The sequence below is a fragment of the Homo sapiens genome, chromosome 22 (assembly GCF_000001405.40).
Source record: "Homo sapiens chromosome 22, GRCh38.p14 Primary Assembly".
In the NCBI taxonomy this organism is placed as follows: Eukaryota; Metazoa; Chordata; class Mammalia; order Primates; family Hominidae; genus Homo; species Homo sapiens.
Genome location: NC_000022.11, coordinates 42943133 through 42960855, shown reverse-complemented (window position 1 = coordinate 42960855; position 17723 = coordinate 42943133). Strand labels below are relative to the sequence as shown.

The following is a 17723-nucleotide window of genomic DNA, read 5'->3' as shown; positions in this document are numbered from 1 at the left end:
TTATTGAATAATATGCATACCTAAAGTGCACAGATCTCAAGTGTACATATCAGTGAATTTTCACAAGCCCAGCACACCCATAGCCAGTTTAAGAGCCACAGCACAGCTCCAAAACCCTCCTGGCACCCCTTCCTGCCTGCCTCCTCTTTCTCTTCCCTGTCCCGGCTTCGAAGGGTGTAGATTAGTTACGCCTTTTCTTGTGCTGGATCCAAAGGGAATCGTACAGCATGTATTCTTGTAGGCACAAGCATTTTAAAATCTTTCTCTCCTCACCTAAAGCTTTATTGTTTTTTTCTTCACTTTAAATTCTTTGTAAAAATTGAAGAAGCGAGGTGTTTTTATTTCCATGTAATCACAGTTGCGTATTTGAGTGTCCTAGTTCTTAGGAGACAGTCGTGCTGCTGAGAGACCATGGGGTCACCTGCCTGTCTCCAGGGGACTCTGTGTCCCCAGTCCTGTCTCCTGCATGAGGCTTCCTGTTCATCTGCTGACAGGCATTGCCTTGTTGTGTGTAGTCACAGAAGGAAGTTGACTTCCACATGTAGGGACAGTGTAAGATTATCCTGTGCAAGCAAGTCCCTGTCCCACTGACTGCTGTGACGCCCCTCAGATGCAGAGAGAGCATGCTGTCTTTTTTCTCTTGTAAGCAGGAGGATCCCAAATACAAGAAGATATTAGAAGACTCATGTATGGTGTAAGTTAGTTTGTATATAATTTGATTTTTTGTGTGTTGGGGAGGGGGTAGTATGAATTTTGTTCTCAGACCTCTTCTCCCTGATTTTCCGTGGAAATACTGAAATTTCTCTTTGGCCACTTTCTGAAAAGAGAGCTCTTCTGTGATGGCCACAGCAGGCAGGAGCGTGCAGTCTGGGAACCTGGGACTGTACAGCGAATGCAGCAGTGTATGGGAATGACCTTATCTCGGCAGCCAACAGGAAATGATGAAATGTGCTGGGAGAATTCAGCTGAGAGACAGAGGTCAGACATGCCAGCAGGGTTGGAAAGAGGCAGGTACGGAAGCTGAGCTGCAGAGTTAGCCGGCATCTGACAGAAAAATGTGAGTGTGCTGTGGAAGGCTTGCATTTCCTTTAAGGTAGACCTCTTTGAAAGTAGAATTTTCACGGAATTGTTTTCTTTCTCACTGAGTGACTGATTTAACAGAACTCTCACCTTCTATGCAAGCGCACCTAGTTTTAGAGCTCCGTGACGGCAATGTTCAATTAGTTCATTATTAACTGAGCAATGCAGAATGCTTTATCCAGGGTGCTTGGAGAAGATGTCAGAGTAAGTGTTTGATTTTCTTGGAGAATAGATTTCGGCTTAAACAAATGAAGGATTGTGTTTTGTAATTTTTGACTCTGGTTTTAGAACATACGTGCGTGTTTCCTTTCAAAATAGATGCAATAACTTTGCACCTTTGCTTTGGCATGTTTTAGAGTAGCTGACATACTTTAGCTGTATTTTTTTCTTACCGAGTAGCTAAATGAGTTACTTGAGTTAGCTGTTAATAGAGGGCTTTTCCCCCTACTTTAAGGCGTTAATGTTTATTACATGCTGCCATTTTCTTTCTTTACAGCCAAATCTAATCTACAAACACATAAGTGGGACTTGAGAGAGAAAGCAAATTATCTTTTCCAGGAGACTGTAATTGCTGTTTCATGACTGTTTACTGCAGAGTCTCTGATCACCTGCCACCGCTCCAGGACCCCTCCCGACCACCTTCCCATCCTCCCCCTCAGTTCTTCTCATTTCTCATCCCAGCTGGACCCTGTGCCCTCGTCCCCCTCTGAGGGCTGTCACTAGACACTGTTTATATTTTTGTCGGGTAACAAAATGTAAAAGTCTTATTGTTTTAATAACTGAGCAGCCTTATGTACGTATTCAATTGTTTCTTAGAAGTCATATTCTGGAATTTTTGAAAAACAGTGGCTCCCCTTTATTGCTGTGGTGCTGTAATTCTAATTAGATTTTTAAAATCCTGATACTTAAGTGACCCATCACTCAGTGAATTATACTTACTGGATTACTGATTGCCATTAAAAAGGCAGCATCCTCTCTCCGTCCTCCAGAAAATACTGTGCTGGTGCAGCCTGTGCCTCACAGAAAAACATGCTTTCTTGTTAGGATGTTACCTACTGTGAAGTGTGTGTTTCAAATACTTTTAAGATTGCATAGGAAAGGTTTCTAGAAACCCCCAAGGTATATAGTATGTCTGTCCGACCTTAATCGGGCCCATCAGTTTTGTCTTTGCTCTTGTAGCTCTGAATATCTCTTTCTTCAGATCCCTTCCTTCTTGTCAGTAAAACATCCTACTGAATTCTGCATGAATTTTAAATGCTGTATTTATGAAAACAGCAAAGAGGTTTCATAACTTCAAACCAAAGCATTTTTACAGGTATGAGATTTATGCCAATAAGTAAAAATACGCCTTCCTTTTTTCTTTTTAAACAGTGTTAGTCCTTTGAGACCCGTTTGCCCACCCACACAATTCTGTTATTCATTTGGTGGCATAATGCAGAAGGTGGGAACGCAATATTTAGAGCTGTAATGGCTCTTGGACTTAATATTCCAGGATCCTCACTTTACCAAAGGAATTGGGATCCAGAGGTGACGACTTGTCCAAGGTCACTCGTCTCGTTGGTAGCCGAGTGAGTCTGAAACCCTGGTCATGAGACTCATTACTCTTTCCATTACAGTAATCTGCTTTCTTCGCATTATTATCTTAAGATGAATATCACTTAGCTAAGAGTGTTTTTTTTTTCTACTGATGAGTCCGTTCATATTTGTTTCACTTTCAAACACTCAGCTTTTATTCAATAACTTTTTTGCTGTAAGTACCATTTGCATAGATGTATAGTGAATTACCTCAAGTACAAAGAGCATTGACATTTCTTAAAAATCAACAATTCTCTATATTATAAAGTTTTGCTTGCCTCTCCCCTAGCTCAGGGGAGAGACAGTCAATTGTTACTGATAGAAGCGGGCCTCACGATGGGATTGCTTGCCAGATGAGAATGCCAAACTTAATACAATCACAACTAATACAAGAAACAGACAAGCACTCAATTCTTCTTTGAAACAGGATTCTTCAGGGTGTGAAAGGGAAACCCCAAACCTTTAGCATTTCTGCCTTTCAGCCCCTATAAGGGAATACTGACTCTGTCTTGAGCTGAACTGAAGAGGTATTGGAATATGAAAGACTTTAAAATAATACAACATAATATAAATAAAGGAGAAAACGATTTAATTTATAAAAATGGAATTTACTCACAATTTTCCAGAATCATTAAAAATGGTCTCTGCTAAAAATTCAGTTTGAATCCTCTGAAATTCAGGTGTGGGAGTTAGTTATAAACAGGTATGCTGAGAACAGTGGGTGACTGTTCCTAGACCTCGGTGTGGCCATCACTGTCTGTCCAAAGTCACCTTAAAATACCTTGGGGAGGTTCACAGGATAGCGCTTATTTGTATTTTCTAAAGTATTTAGAATATATGCCTTGAAGAATTTCTGAAACAAAAGCACTTCAGGAAAACTGGCACTTTCATAAATATGTTAATTGTATTTGAAGTTGAATTTAATAACTTTACAACTATTTTAATTTATGAAACTGAAGAATGAAGTGGAATACATAAGCAATATTTTTATGCAGTGTGTCAGAACTGTCTTCCCTCCTGGTGTTCTAGTGGGCACTTTCTGTCAGTCTCCTTAAAGAGGTGCTGCTTTCATTTGGTGAGCCAGGCGACATTATCCTAGAGAAGAAGTGGGGCTGCAGGCTCAGGAGCCGCAGTGGCTTAGTTCGCTTCTCCCATAATTTAGTTACCTTTGTTCCCCAATTAGCATTTTATACTTACTATTATATTTTCACTATATATTAAGTATAGAATATTCCAATCGGCTTCCTTTTCTTAGTGTATAATTGACCTTCTTATCTTCTGCAGTCTATAAGTAACATTTGATATGCTTCCCTCCCTGGCCTCTAGCTTCTGCCCACATTAGTATAAATGTTGCTGTGCTTGTGAGATTTAAAGATGAGAAAGAGATACCAGACTGTTGCAGTGCTGGCATTGCTCCAAACTGAGAAGGGGTTAAACGGCAGCCCCCTGGGGCTGCTGTTGGCTTAGAAATCTCAGAGTTTGTGTTGTTGGTGTTTGGGCCTTTTTCATGTCCACCTCTGTCCAGGGCAGCTCTCCAGACCAGATTCTAGAAGTGGCCTCAGAACCTTCTCTAAGACTATGAAGAAACATCCCCCAGTATCCTAGGCCCTTAGAGTTTGGTAAAGAGGAGCATGTATGTGTGTGTCAGTATGGTGAGATAGTAATTAGACAAGGGTTATTGATTTGAATGAATGAATGAATGAATGACATTGTTTGCTTTTCCATAGTGATTACTTTTGAAGGCACTATAGTCACATTTCACTAGGTGGTCTAAATGCATTTGCATGTCACAGTTCTGCCTTGACACCAAGTAACAGGTTGTGTCTACCTGACGTCTCCTCCAGCCCTGGGGCTCTGGCCTAAGTTTTTTCTTATTAGACTCTGTCATATATGAATCATAAGACATAAATCTTTATGTGGGCTCATGGTACATATTTTATTTTGAGAAACTTAAAGAATCTAATAGGAAGTTAGAATTAATTTGAAATGTGTGCCAGTGGTCATCACAATAGTATGGCATTTAGATTATCTTTTTGTTAATGTGAAGGGTGCTATGAATTTCATACTCAGTCATGTTTCCCATCAGGATTTGTTCTACAGTGGAGTCCTTGAAGGAGAACAAGGAAGAATGATTTTGCTGGAAAATGCTTACTTGACGAAATGTTGATGTAATTAACAGGACAAAATGTTGAACTTCCCAATTTGGAACTCTCTCTTTGACTCTTAAATTCCTAACATAGATTGGTAGTGCTAGTTTAACAAAATAAATGAAGCACATGACAGTTTTGGGGATAATGAAATGACTTCTCTATCTTCTCTGCTATGAACTGACACATGAAGAAAAAATAGCACAGGGCGTAGTAGACTGATCACCAGTATCTATTGATTTGGAAGACAGAAACATTTGTTACTACTTTCCCATCTATAGGGACGGTCACCTCAGGTTCACTTAGTCAGATCCTACCATTACTGTGCAGGAAGAATGTTAGAAAGCAAGACTGTAAAGCCATGAAGGAAAGTGGCAAGACCACTTTTGGTGGATAAATCTTTCATACTTCACATTGAACTCGAAGACATTAAATTGAATCTTAGGTGTACCCAGTGAACTTCTGAGGTTGAAGAGTTTGCATTTGGGATGGTGGAAGTTGTCATGATGATGAAAAGTCATGATGTGAGGCTATGTAAACTGTACTTGTCCCAGCACCTGACAGCCTTTTTTTTTTTCCCCCTGATGCTATCTCCAGGTATGACAGCTTTTATTGGTAGACATGCAGGCACCTGAGTGAGCTCTGGGCTTATTTCCAGCCATCCGTTAGATCACTGCCTGGAGGGACAGTTCACCTGGATGCTGGCTGGCTGGATCAGTTGATTTGTTTTTTCGTTCGTTCGTTCGTTTGTTTGTTCATTCATTCATTCATTCATTCAGTTTACCTTCTTGGTCTCTTGTCCACGCAGTTCACATCAGGCACTGTGCTAGACTCTAGGGATCCATAGACGGTTAGGATTGAGTTCTGGTCTCTGAGGACCTCACAGTCCAGTAAGGTAAAGAGACTTCTAAGCAGCAGGGTGGTGAGTCTTAAAGAGCTATTGGGACCTTATTCTGCCATGAAGAATGGAGGAGATTGGGGGGAAACTCCAGTTTGATGATGAGTTTTAGAGGGAGTGGTTTGTCAGGTACCCAAGAGAAGCAGCGGGAGCAATATATGCAAAGGCAAGGAGGTCAGAATCTGCCAGACTTAGGAGCTTGTTGTGGCTGGAGTGCCGTTTATATGTGGACATGCTTCAGGAACATCATATTTATCAGATCCAAACCAGTTTGTTCTTAATTCTATTTTTCTCTTTGTGGCATTATCACCTACCATGCCTCCGAAATTTGAGACTTTGAATCCCTGCCCCCATCCCCCATTCCCTGGCATCATCCATCACTATGTCCTGTCTGTTTTTCCTCTTGGATATATTCCTCTTTCCTGGTCTTCTAACCATTTCCCTTTCTCCAGACTTGAACCTCCAGAACTGCGATGTCCAGTGTGGTAGCCACTAACCACGTGACTGTTTACATTAAAATTGACTAAAATTAAAAAGTCATTGAGACCAGTCTGGACAACATAGTGAGTCCTCTGTCTCTATAAAAAATAAAAAATTAGCCAGGTGCAGTGGCACATACTTGTAGTCCAAGCTTCAGAAGGCTCAAGTGGGAGGATCGCTTACACCCAGGAGGTTGAGGCTGCAATGAGCTGTGATAGTGCCACTGCACTCAGCCTGAATGACAGAGGGACACCCTGTCTCAAAAAAAAAAGTCAGTTTCTCACTTGGACTAACTACTTTTTAAGTGTTAATAGCTGGTGGCTGCCATACTGGACAGCCCAAGACTAGAGGCTCAATGGGCTGTTCTCCACTCTCTGTCCAAGGGAACCTTCCTTTATGTGCTTTTTGCTTTCAAGATAGGGTCTTGCCCAGTCGCCTAGGCTGGAGTGCAGTGGCATGATCTCGGCTCACTGCAACCTCCGCCTCCCAGGTTCAAGTGATTCTCTTGCCTCAGCCTCCCAAGTAGCTGGGACTATAGGCACATGTCACCATGCCTGGCTAATTTTTTGAGTTTTTTGGTAGAGACAGGGTTTCACTATGTTGGCTAGGCTGGTTTCGAACTCCTGACCTCAAGTGATCTGCCTGCCTCAGCCTCCCAAAGTGCTAGGATTACAGGCATGAGCCACCGCACCCAGCCTCATGCCTTTTAACCTTTGTACTTGCTGTTCTTATTCTCTCCAGAATACCATTCTTGCTCTAAGCATTCCTCTCTTCCCTGGCTTTCCTTAGGTGAATTTCGTCTCTTTTTTCCTCCAGTGTCCTTGTAATCACACAATCACGCTTGCCTCTGAGAGGGCACATATATGTTTATCGTGTGTCGAGACATCATAGTATAGTGGTTAAGCCTTGGGGACAGATTGTCTTAATTTCAAAACTAGCCGGTTACTTGCCAGGTGGCTTTGAACACATTACTTAACCTCTCGGAGTTTTAGTTTCTTCAGCTATAAAATGAAGACAATGGTTTTTTCCTCGTGTTAAATGAAACCCTTAGCACTGCATTTAAATATATAGCTCTCAAATTGTAGCTGAGAGCTCTCATTCTAGATAAATTCCCTTCCTCTGTTCATCAGCCATGCTAAAACCATTTAATGGTTTGTTAATGCTAATAATGCTGTTACGTTTCTTCTTTTCTGATTGTTACACCTTTTAGTTATTTTTCTTATTGCAGTGGCTAGGCCCTTCAATGCAATTTGCATAGACATGTAATTTTTTATTCCTGTAATTTCTATTGGCTGTAGTTCTTCTGGTGAGATTTTTATTCTCTCTTTTGTTTTGATTGCATTTCATCATGCCCATTTTCCATTGCATTTTTTTTTCACTCTTAGTTTAGAAATTAAATTCTCAGCCTGCTCCTTTAGTGGTTATCCTAGATATTTTTGTGTACTTAACAAAATCTTAAGTGATATCTTTACCCTTCTCTTGAACAATGGAAGGATAGAAAACATTTTAACTCCATATGCCCTCTCAACTTGTCCAGTTTTTTTTTTCTGATTTTTTTAAATCCTGCAAATTTGCCATTGTCTTTTATACAGCTAATGCTATTTAGATTTATCCAATATATTTATCTGCATATTTGCTTACCATTCCTTCTTGTGCTTCAGGGCTTTCCATCTGAAATAATTTCCTTCTTTTAAAAGTATATCCTTTAAGGGCTGGGCATGGTGGTTCACGCCTGTAATCCCAACACTGTGGGAGGCCGAGGCCAGTGGATCACTTGAGGTCAGGAGTTCAAGACCAGCCTGTCCAATATGGAGAAACCCCGTCTCTACTAAAAAACACACAAAAATTAGCTGGGCCTGGTGGCACACACCTGTAATCCCAGCTACTCGGGAGGCTGAGGCAGGAGAATTGCTTGAACCTGGGAGGCAGAGATTGTAGTGAGCCGAGATCGCTCCACTGCACTCCAGCCGGGGCGACAGAGCGAGACTCCATCTCAAAAAAAAAAAAATAAATAAATAGGCCGGGTGTGGTGGCTCAACGTCTATAATCCCAGCACTTTGGGAGGCCAAGGTGGGCGGATCACGAGGTCAGGAGACTGAGACCATCCTGGCCAATGTGAAAACCCGTCTCTACTAAAAATACAAAACAAATTAGCCAGGCGTGGTGGTGCGCGCCTAAAGTCCCAGCTAATCAGGAGGCTGAGGCAGGAGAATCGCTTGAACCAAGGAGGCAGAGGCTGCTGCAGTGAGCCAAGATCATGCCACTGCACTCCAGCCTGGGTGACAGAATGAGACTCTGTCTCAAAAAAAAGATAAACTTAAAAATAAAAAATAAATAAATAAAATAAAATAATAAATAAATAAATAAATTTCTTCAACAGGAGAGTCATTAAGATACCTGGTTTGCTGTGCTGCTGAAAACAGAATTATGCTCTGTCATTCCTTGACTCATTCATTCTAGTTGTGTTTATTATGTGCCTGTTACGTATCAGTGGTAGGAACACGGGCAAACAAGGCAAAATCCTGGTGCATAAGGAACCTACATTCTCGTGAGTGGAGAGAGAAAAGATAATTTGGCAGGTGAGGTTGAGTGTTAAGAAAATAAAACAGAGTTAGGGCTGGAGTATCAGGGCTGGGGGAAGGCTTTCTTAAGAAGAGGGTAATGTTTGAGCAAATATCTGATGCTGGGAGGCAGCAGATCCTACAGATGTGGGAGGCAGGTATTCCCGGCAGAGGGGAGGCAGGTGCAAAGGTAAGCCGAGTCTGGTGCATCTGGAGAACCACATGGAGGTCACTGTAGCCAGAGTCCAGGGTGTGGGGATTGGAAGGAGCGAGACTGGCGCTGGAAGCAGGGGCTAGAATCACATGGGACCTTGTAATCAGGGTGGGGAGTATCAATAACTGTGACAGTTGACAATAGCTGTTGGCAAGATTTGAGTTTAGTAGATTGAACCAGGGTAACTGAGACAGAGGTGGTGTGAAGCGGCCACATTCTGGCTCTGTTTTGAGGTAGAGGTGATGTTATGTGGACATGAGAGGAGGAGAGGAGTCAGGGATGACACTGGGGCATTTGTCCTGAGCAGCTGTGTCCTGGAGGAGCCCAACCGGGGGATGCAGGAGCAAGAGGTGGGTTTTGGCCAGTGTGTCGGAGAGGCCCGTGAGCCTCCCAGGGGGAGATGCTGAGCCAGCAGCTCGGGCCATGCCGGATCTGGAGCTCAGGGAGAGGCTGAGTGAGGAGGCATCAGCACGTGGATGGAATTTTAGGTCACAGGAGGGAGAGGGTCACCCAGGAAACTAGTGTGCACAGAGAAGAGGAGGCTGAGCCCTGGGCACCACGGGTGTGCACAGGGTGATAAGGGCACCAATTGGGTGCTTTGCAGGACTGTCCGGAATTACTTGTCTAGAGAGAATGCAGTTAATACTGCAGGCCGGTTATCGTGACTAGAAGATAAGGCTCGTGGATTCCTTTACCAGAAAAGCTTGGATTTCATGCTTACCTAAAGGGAAGGTGCCCACGTGCTGCCTTATCTTCCTTTTGAATTTTCAAAAGCAACTCAATCAGTGTATTCTTATGGCAGAACAATTAAGTGATACAGATATGCAAAAGCCCAGACTTTCATGTTCCACCACCCAGAGATGTTCATTCAAGACTCAGGACAACCTTCCCTGACCACCATATGTCCAGGTAGACCCTGTCACTCTCTGTCCCCCACTTGGCTTCATGCTTTCCCCCAGCCCTTAATGCTGTCTGCCGCTACATTACCTACTGGTGTGGCTTTGAAATCCCCTGACCCCTACTGGAATATATACAGGGGCCTTGTCACTTCTACCCATCCCGGGACCCCACAGGCCCAGCGAGGTGCCTGGCATACGGTAAGTAAGGCTGCATTACATTTCATTGAATGGAAGAATTCACATTTTTGGTACATAGCCATCTGGACTTTTTTTCTAGGTAATTACCCACTCTTAAACATATATTTTTAGATAAAGCCCAAGTGTTCAGCTTTTTAGACGTAAGAATGCTACTTATGGCGTTGAATGTTACTGTAAGCTAACTTTGCACTAGTTGGCTGGGGCTGCTGTTTTCAGTCAGTTTCAGCAATGGTGGCTGCACAGGCCTTCAGAGCCCTTCCTGAGCCTGTGCCTGGACAGCAGCGTGAATCGTCAGTCCACCTCATGCTGTCTCCTAGGAGGCTGTGCAGCTGCAGGCCTTCTTTCCTCAACCAAAATGCTGTGCCTGCCCACCTGCCCACTCCCTTCCCTCCCTCCCTCTCAGCCTAATCTGGTATGACTTTGTCTTATCTTTCCTAGTATTTAGACAATTTGTTCCTTTGTATCTTGGAGGATTGTTCCAGGACCCTCCAAAGGATACCAAAATCCATGGATGCTCGTCTCTGATATAAAATAGTGTTGTATTTGCATATAACTTATGTATACTCTTCAGTATTCTTTAAATCATCTCTAGATTACTTATAATACCTAATAGAATATAAATACAATGTAAATAGTTATACCGTATTGTTTAGGGAATAATGACAAGCAAAAAAAGTCTGTACATGTTTAGTACAGATGCAGCTACCCACTTCTTTCCCCCGTATATTTTCGATTCCTGACTGGTTGAATCCACAGATGTGGAACCCTTGGGTATGAAGGGCTGAGTGTGCTGTGAGCTCCTGGACCGCAGGGCCTGCATGGTGTTATTCACTTGTTTTCATTTCCATCCCCTAGCTCTTAGCAAGGTTTCTGGCACTCAGAAAGTAAATGTTTTTAGAATATTGGGAGAGATAGATGTAAAATAATTTGTAAAATCAATTTCCTTGGCTTGATATTTACTCAGTTTATTAGAATAAATTAAACATTTTATTGAAAATATTTAAGAATTTGGGACACAGGCTATGTCTTGAGACAGCCAAACTGACAAATTTTTATGAAGGACAGGTTCTTTCTGCCTGTGTGTGTGTGTGTGAGAGAGTGTGTGTGAGTGTGTGTGTGTGAGTGTATGTGTGTGTGTAGTGGGGGTATTGGGTATTGTAATGAAGTCAAGAGAGTAACCAAGACATTTTCTTCAGGGCTTCTCAGATAATATTATTGTATATTGTAATTCGGCATTTTATCATAAATAAGAATTGTCATTAATTTTTCCCCTTTATAAGTGGTCACTGGAAATGTTTATTAGGCAGCTAGCATCACAAAATGTGTGTGTGTGTGCGTGCGCGCGCGTGTGTGTATGAGGCTTAACGTTGAAGGTCTTTGTTTTGTGTTTCTAGAGTTCTCAGTGGCACAGCTGAGAATGGGTGTGTAAGTCCTGCTTGCCAAAGCCATATCCTCCCTGTGTGGGGTGGGAGTTGCCAGAGAGGCCAGGAGGAGTCATACTAGGAGCAAGAAGGCTGGGAAGGCTGGAGACTGACATTTTCAGGCACTCACATACAATGTGTCATTTAAATTCCTACTCTGTGTAGGTCAGCCACCTTTATTCCCATTTTGCTGGTAAGAAGGTAGCTTAGAAGTTAAAATGTGCACCTATTATTTAAGAAATGTTTTGTCCTTATAGAGACAGGATCCCACCTTGTTGCTCAGGCTGGTTTGTAACTCCTGGGCTCAAGCAATCCTTCCACCTCCACCTCCCAAAGTGCTGGGATTACAGGCGTGAGCCACTATGCCTGACCCACTCCCCTTGTTTAAGGGAAACTTTTGCTATTAATTTTATGCTTGATTTAAGCCTATTAGTTTCAGATTGTTGCCTGACAATTGAGTTCCCTGTTTGTTTTTCCAAATTACTGGCTAGTTCATTTTATGTGAACTTTTTTTAGAAATAAAAGCACTGTCAAGTTAGAATTCATTTATCAGTTTGTCACACGAAACTGGCTCCATATTCTTCTCTACAGTAGAGTGCTTTGGCTCTAGCTGATACCTTTGAATGAAATAGAATATTTTCTTGAGAAAGCGGCACCATAGTTGAGTGCATAGATGCCCAGAAAATATTTGAAAACCAAATCCTCTCATGGTTTGTACTTAAAATTTTTTTTTAGAGATGGGATCTCACTGTGTTGCCCAGGCTGGAGTACAGTGGCTACTCACAGGCACTATCATAGCTCACTGCAGCCTCAAACTCTTGGGCTCAAGTGATCTTCCTGCCTCAGCTTCCCAAGTATCTGGGACTATAGATAGTCATGTGCCACCACACCCAGCTCGTGTGGCTTTTTAAACTTCAAAGGCACATATTTATAGTACTGGTTGAGAAGGTATTTAGGTAGTTCACTTCTAGATAGCGCTTCTGATGGGTGTGACCTCTTCTTGTCCATGCTTACCTAGCATTCTTATGGTGGGCTTTTATCAGGACATTCTACTTTTTATTGCTGGTAGGTAAATGGAGCAGAAGTCACTCTTGTGGTGGAGTAACTAGTGACTTGAGCTGGTGTCTGATCTTCAGCGCCCTGCCATTTGTCAGTCCCCTCTCCCCTCCTTCACAGCCACAGCAGCTTCCCAGGGTTTGCCCTCCAGGACCAGCGGGACCCTGCACTGGGCTGGTTTCTAACTCCCCTTTGTCACACAGGTTCCTCTACCTGGGATGCCTTTCCTTGCTGCTCCTGCTGAAGAATTCCCACTGAAACATCAGCCCTGGGCACCCTTTCTGGACCCTCTATGTGTCCCCGTAGCATGTTGTGCAGAACTGTTTCCTAGCTCTTGGCCGCTGTGTTGGAGGAGGTTGTTCAAGTGTCCATCGACCCTGTGAGAATGGAGTGCCCCAGTGTGGGGGCACCTGGCTTACGGGCTCAGGAGCTGGGCTGCCGTGGAGCCTGGCCCCAGTCACCTTCTCCCTGGCCAATGCTTGTGGAAGGTCCCCATACTCCAGGCACTGTGCCAGGTCCCAGCCGGATGCCATTTGATCCGTGCAACCTGTCAGGCAGATTGGATTCTATTTTACCCATGAGCAGTGTCAGGCGCAGAGCTCTTAGGTATTTTGCCTGAGGCAGCTGGATCATTAAGAGGTCCCCCCCCCCACCCCCAGGGGTCTTGTGAAGACTCATAGATGCAGATTTCAGAGACCTTCTAGATTTGTGCATCCAGGCTAGCGTGTTCTTTGGTGTTGTCCCCTCTTGCTGTCTCTCATATTCAGCTTGTTCAGACCAGGGCTTCAGCTCCTCTTGAGGATTCCACTCATCAGACTGTTGGGTAGGGAAGAGCCTCTGAAACGGCTGCCTCCAAGCATGGGAAGAGGCCGCTCCTCTTTTGTGGACAAAGGGCCACAGAGGCCCTTTGTGTGACAGGAAGTCCTGCTTCTAGAAGGGGCTGCCTGAAAGTGGAGGGGTTGAAAGAAGCTGAAGCGTTGACCTGGGGCCACTCTGACTCATGCATGTTGTCAATAATACTCTTTGTCTGTCTTGGGAACCTGGCACAGCAGACCTCGAAGGTGGCCTGGAGCATTCCTCTTCTCCCTCCTTCCTGCTCACTCTGCCGCCTGTGAATGCCCCTATTTTCTGACCTGAACAAAGGGCAGCCTCCTGACCCATTCTATATTTTTTCCTTCTATTTATGCCAGGAGAATCTTTCTGTCTCATCTGGGCCTGTGTGAGTTTTCTTTTTTAGGGTTTAAGTGCGTCTCTTGAGTTGGAAAACTTGCAGCTTAAGGGAGAGCTGTCCCACTGGGCAGGTGCCTCTGACGGAGAGGAGGCGTCGTCGGGAAGTATGTGGCCGTGGCTGCTCTGGCATGATCCTGAAGACTGGCACGAAGGGGAATGGAGCCGCACAGAGAATTTCAGGCATCAGAGGGGAAGCGCAGGTACCCGGACCCACGGCCCAGCTCCCTGCAACATGGTCCACATGTCTCCTGTATTTGTGGCCATCTGTCAGTTGTTAAATACTGTGGTTAGGATGTGAGGACACCAGAAGCGAGGGAAGTGGTGGCAGAGATGAGCTGACGCGTCCTCATGTGCTCTGAAGTCCTGATCCCCAGCTGGACGAGAGAGGATCATGTGTGTGCGCATGCCTGTGTGAAGGGATCCTAAGATTATGTTGGAATAACACTGCATCAGTCCTGGGCAGGCAGCTTTGTGTGTTGTGTAACTGGGGCTTCTTGCTGTGGGGACATGGTGGCAAATCAGTGAGCACTTGTTCTTTTTGTTTTTTGAGACAGAGTTTTGCTCTTTCCCCCAGGCTGGAGTGCAGTGGTGCGATCTCACTGCAACCTCCATCACCTGGGTTCAAGTGATTCTTGTGCCTCAGCCTCCCAAGTAGTGGGTGAGCCCGTGGTACATTGCTGCTCTCGCCAGGCTCAGAGGCCAATGTGTGCCTCCTTCCTGGATGCAGTGGCAGTCAGTGAGTGCTTCCACTCCTGCCCCCAGGGACAAATCCTTTGGCTTTATTAGCTTTGTCCTTACTTCCCCCTTAGACTGTGGCAGGTTTGGGGTACCCATACTTCTGGAGACCCTACCCTGGATTATATTAGGTATGTTATGCTCACATGCAGTTTAAACACTTCTTTATGTTATAAAAGTAATTGGAAGGATTCTTATTATTTTGCTTTTGAAACTATTTGGCTATGAGAAGTTGATTTCTCCTCCACCTCCTCTAATTCATTTGTGCATTTGTTCAGAGGGAACAGTGTGTGTGAAGGGGTGGAGCTGATAGGAGTGTGGTGCTTGTGTTGGTAGACACAGGTGATTAACGGTGGCCAGAGCGTGTATAGTGTGGCCAGGAGTGTGGTGTGAGTGGTGAGGCTGGAGGAGCAGTAGTTACAGCCTGGAGGCCCTGCTGGCTTCGGGAGGAAGTAGGGGGAGGAGTTTGAGTAGAGGCAAAACCTGATCTTTCCAGAAGACATTCCAACCACCATGGTAGAGTCACAGTAATGTCATGGAGAATGAAGGGAGTCGGGGACTAAACAAGTGGCTGCAGGTTAGTTAGGACGTTGTTAAGGATTAGGCAGGAGGCAATGGTGGCCTTAGCGAAGGTAGCTATCATCATGGGGACAGAGCCAAGTGGGAGGATTCAAGAGATATTGAAGAGCTGATGTAGTCCGGTCTTGGAAGCTGATTGAATGTGGTAGTGGTGAGGGGGGTTGGGTGTGGGAAGAAGAGGAGTTTCTGGCTTGAGAAGCTGGGTGAATGAATGGTGGGACCATTTCTGACGTAGAAAACCCAGGAACAGGAGTGGGCTCATAGGGAAGGGGATAGTTTGCAAGGACTGTGTGATGGCCAAGTGGAGGCATCCAGTAGGCAGAGATGCGGGTCTGGGCCAGACAGCAGATCAGGGGGCTTGAGGTTAAAGGTGGTTTGGTGTGTGGGCACAGAAGACGTAAGAGAGAGGGCCTGGGACAGAACCTGGGGAGCGCCAGCAGCCAGGAAACAGGCAGAGGAGGTTGAGAGAAGGCACACTGCAGCCACTACAGAAATGAGCTGGTGAGTGTCAGCTCCCTCCCCAAAGACTCCTCTTGCCCTCGTCCCCCACTGATTTTGCTTCTGTCAGCTTGGTAATTGCCGGTGCGTACATCTAGTCACTGTGCAGACTCATTTGAGCATCTACCTCATGCTAAGCACTGGGGATACGGAGATGACACAGCCCTTGCCTCTTTTTTTTTTTTTTTGAGACGAGTCTTGCCCTGTCGTCCAGGCTAGAGTACAGTGGTATGATCTTGGCTCACCGCAACCTCTGCCTCCCAGGTTCAAGTGATTCTCCTGCCTCAGCCTCCTGAGTAGCTGAAACTACAGGGGCGTACCACCACACCTGGCTAATTTTTGTATTTTTAGTAGACATAGGGTTTCACTGTGTTGGCCCGGCTGGTCTTGAACTCCTGACCTCAGGTGATCCACCCATCTTGGCCTCCCAAAGTGCTGAGATTATAGGCGTGAGCCACCGCGCCCAGCTACAGTCCTCACCTTATAAGTTGATGTGTAGTGGATGCGCTGTGCCACTCTGCCTTTTTTGCTTATACCCAATTTCGGATGGAAAATAGCTCACCTGCTAGTTCTCTGTAACGGATGTGTTGTGTCCTTTCTGTCAACTCGTCATTGTTTTCTTAGCTTTGAGCAGCTGACTCGTTTCCAATTTTTGCTGTTATAAATATTGCAGTGATGAACATTTTGTCCAAGCTATTTTTTCTTTGAGTTTATTTGCTTGGGGCATGTTCCCCAGAGTGGGACTTAAGGGTCAGAGGTTGGTAACTGTTATCTGCCTTGTTCTGTATTTTCAGATTTTTCCATGAAGCCTATTAGCAATGTTAGAGTACATTTCTGTTTTCCTGTAGCCCCACCAAAACTGGCATTGTCATATTAATTTTCCTTATTTTACAAGTTATTTCCATATTTTAAAGGAAGTTGTGCTTTTTTTTCCTGCATGGGAATTTGTTGTATTATATTTAGCTAGGTTACATTGCAGTAACAAGCAAACCCCAAGTCTCAGAGACTTAGCCTAACACAAATGTCTTTCTCGCTTGATCTGTGTGTCCCTTGTAGGATGGCTGGGGGTGCGGTTCCACAGAGTCCCTCAGGCCAGGCTGATTAAGGAGACAGCACTCTCTGAGAGCTGCCACTCGAGGCCTGCTCAGTGGACAACACAGTAGACAGGAGAGGCTGGGGGCTTTGTGTGGACTTTTCACTACTGATGTGGCCAGGACTACCAACACAGTCTGGCTTAGCAGGTAGAACTTAGTGAGCATTCCTGTCTCTGCCCAGCCATCTCCTCTTCTGTTTGTTCCTCTCCAGCAACTTCTTTGTCCAGTGGAATTGGATCCTCTGTCTTCATATCAGCTCTTAATGTATTTTAGGTAATAAGATTTTTATCAATTGTGTCTTTTTCTTTCTTTGCTTTCTATATTGTATTGTGCAAAAGTTTAACGTAAGTTTTGGACACATTCATGTTTTCCTCTGATACCTTATTATCACAAATTTCTTTTCTCAAAGCCAGAGAATAAGCTGCTTTTCTTTGAGTTGCTTAAAATGGATTTTATTTGGCTCCTTATGACACTTGAAATTCATCAAAATATATAATGTCAGGTGGTTTTAATCTAAGTTAATTAGGTCCTTGGTGATGCCTGTTCTGCAACATTAAAACAAAACAAAAGAAAGAAAAAACACCCAACCCCAAGCAACACCTCTTCATGACAGAAACACTCAGCAAACCAGGAACAGAAGGGAACTTGACTGGATAAAGGGTATTAATCAAAACTTCCAGGGCTGGCAGTGAAAGACTAAAAGCTTTCTTCCTACAATCCAGAAGAATAGGACCTTGATGTCTGTTCTCACTCCTTCTGCTCAATATTGTACTGGAGAGTCTAACCAGGAACTTCGAAGTTAGACAAGAAAACAAAAGGCATACAGATTGGAAAGGAAAAGGTAAAACACTCTCTGTTCAAAGATGGCATGATCTTATATAAAGAAAATCATAAGGAATCACCAAAAAAACTCTTAGAATTAATATACAGGTTCAGCAAGGTTGTAGGATATAAGATCAATATACAAAAATAACGATATTTCTATAATCTAGCAAGGAATAATTCAAAAAATGGAATTAAGAAAACAGTTTCATTTATTATAGTATATAAAGAATAAA

General features: G+C 44.1%; 1 protein-coding gene across 10 annotated transcripts in view, besides 5 other annotated features; it reads left to right on the top strand.

Moving 5' to 3' along the window:
* The window catches only part of PACSIN2 (protein kinase C and casein kinase substrate in neurons 2), a 145384-nt gene that overhangs the window by 54294 nt on the left and 73367 nt on the right, over window positions 1–17723 (top strand). For 2 of the 10 annotated variants that reach the window (NM_001184971.1, NM_001349972.1), the window contains exon 1: window positions 975–1057. The exons of 4 other annotated variants lie outside the window; for them this stretch is intronic. The gene's annotated coding sequence lies outside the window, so the exon portion shown is untranslated. Of the gene's footprint in view, window positions 1–586; window positions 695–956; window positions 1285–13814; window positions 13960–17723 lie in introns of those variants that run through there. 4 more of the 10 variants (NM_001349970.2, NM_001349968.1, NM_001349973.1 and 1 more) reach the window with 4 other exon arrangements.
* Window positions 859–1153: an enhancer, noted in NCBI's record as "tiled region #1755; HepG2 Activating DNase unmatched - State 1:Tss, and K562 Activating DNase unmatched - State 1:Tss". NCBI's record gives its function as "activates a minimal TATA promoter and a strong SV40 promoter by Sharpr-MPRA in HepG2 and K562 cells {active_cell/tissue: HepG2 | K562}" and the evidence as "EXISTENCE:reporter gene assay evidence [ECO:0000049][PMID:27701403]".
* Window positions 8236–8737: an enhancer, noted in NCBI's record as "H3K4me1 hESC enhancer chr22:43348125-43348626 (GRCh37/hg19 assembly coordinates)". NCBI's record gives its function as "activates a minimal SCP1, AML or CMV promoter by ChIP-STARR-seq in naive H9 embryonic stem cells {active_cell/tissue: H9 hESC(naive)}" and the evidence as "EXISTENCE:reporter gene assay evidence [ECO:0000049][PMID:30033119]".
* Window positions 12405–13296: an enhancer, noted in NCBI's record as "H3K27ac-H3K4me1 hESC enhancer chr22:43343566-43344457 (GRCh37/hg19 assembly coordinates)". NCBI's record gives its function as "activates a minimal SCP1, AML or CMV promoter by ChIP-STARR-seq in primed H9 embryonic stem cells {active_cell/tissue: H9 hESC(primed)}" and the evidence as "EXISTENCE:reporter gene assay evidence [ECO:0000049][PMID:30033119]".
* Window positions 13297–14189: an enhancer, noted in NCBI's record as "H3K27ac-H3K4me1 hESC enhancer chr22:43342673-43343565 (GRCh37/hg19 assembly coordinates)". NCBI's record gives its function as "activates a minimal SCP1, AML or CMV promoter by ChIP-STARR-seq in primed H9 embryonic stem cells {active_cell/tissue: H9 hESC(primed)}" and the evidence as "EXISTENCE:reporter gene assay evidence [ECO:0000049][PMID:30033119]".
* Window positions 15680–15759: a silencer, noted in NCBI's record as "silent region_13846". NCBI's record gives its function as "represses an Ori minimal core promoter by ATAC-STARR-seq in GM12878 lymphoblastoid cells {active_cell/tissue: GM12878}" and the evidence as "EXISTENCE:reporter gene assay evidence [ECO:0000049][PMID:35858748]".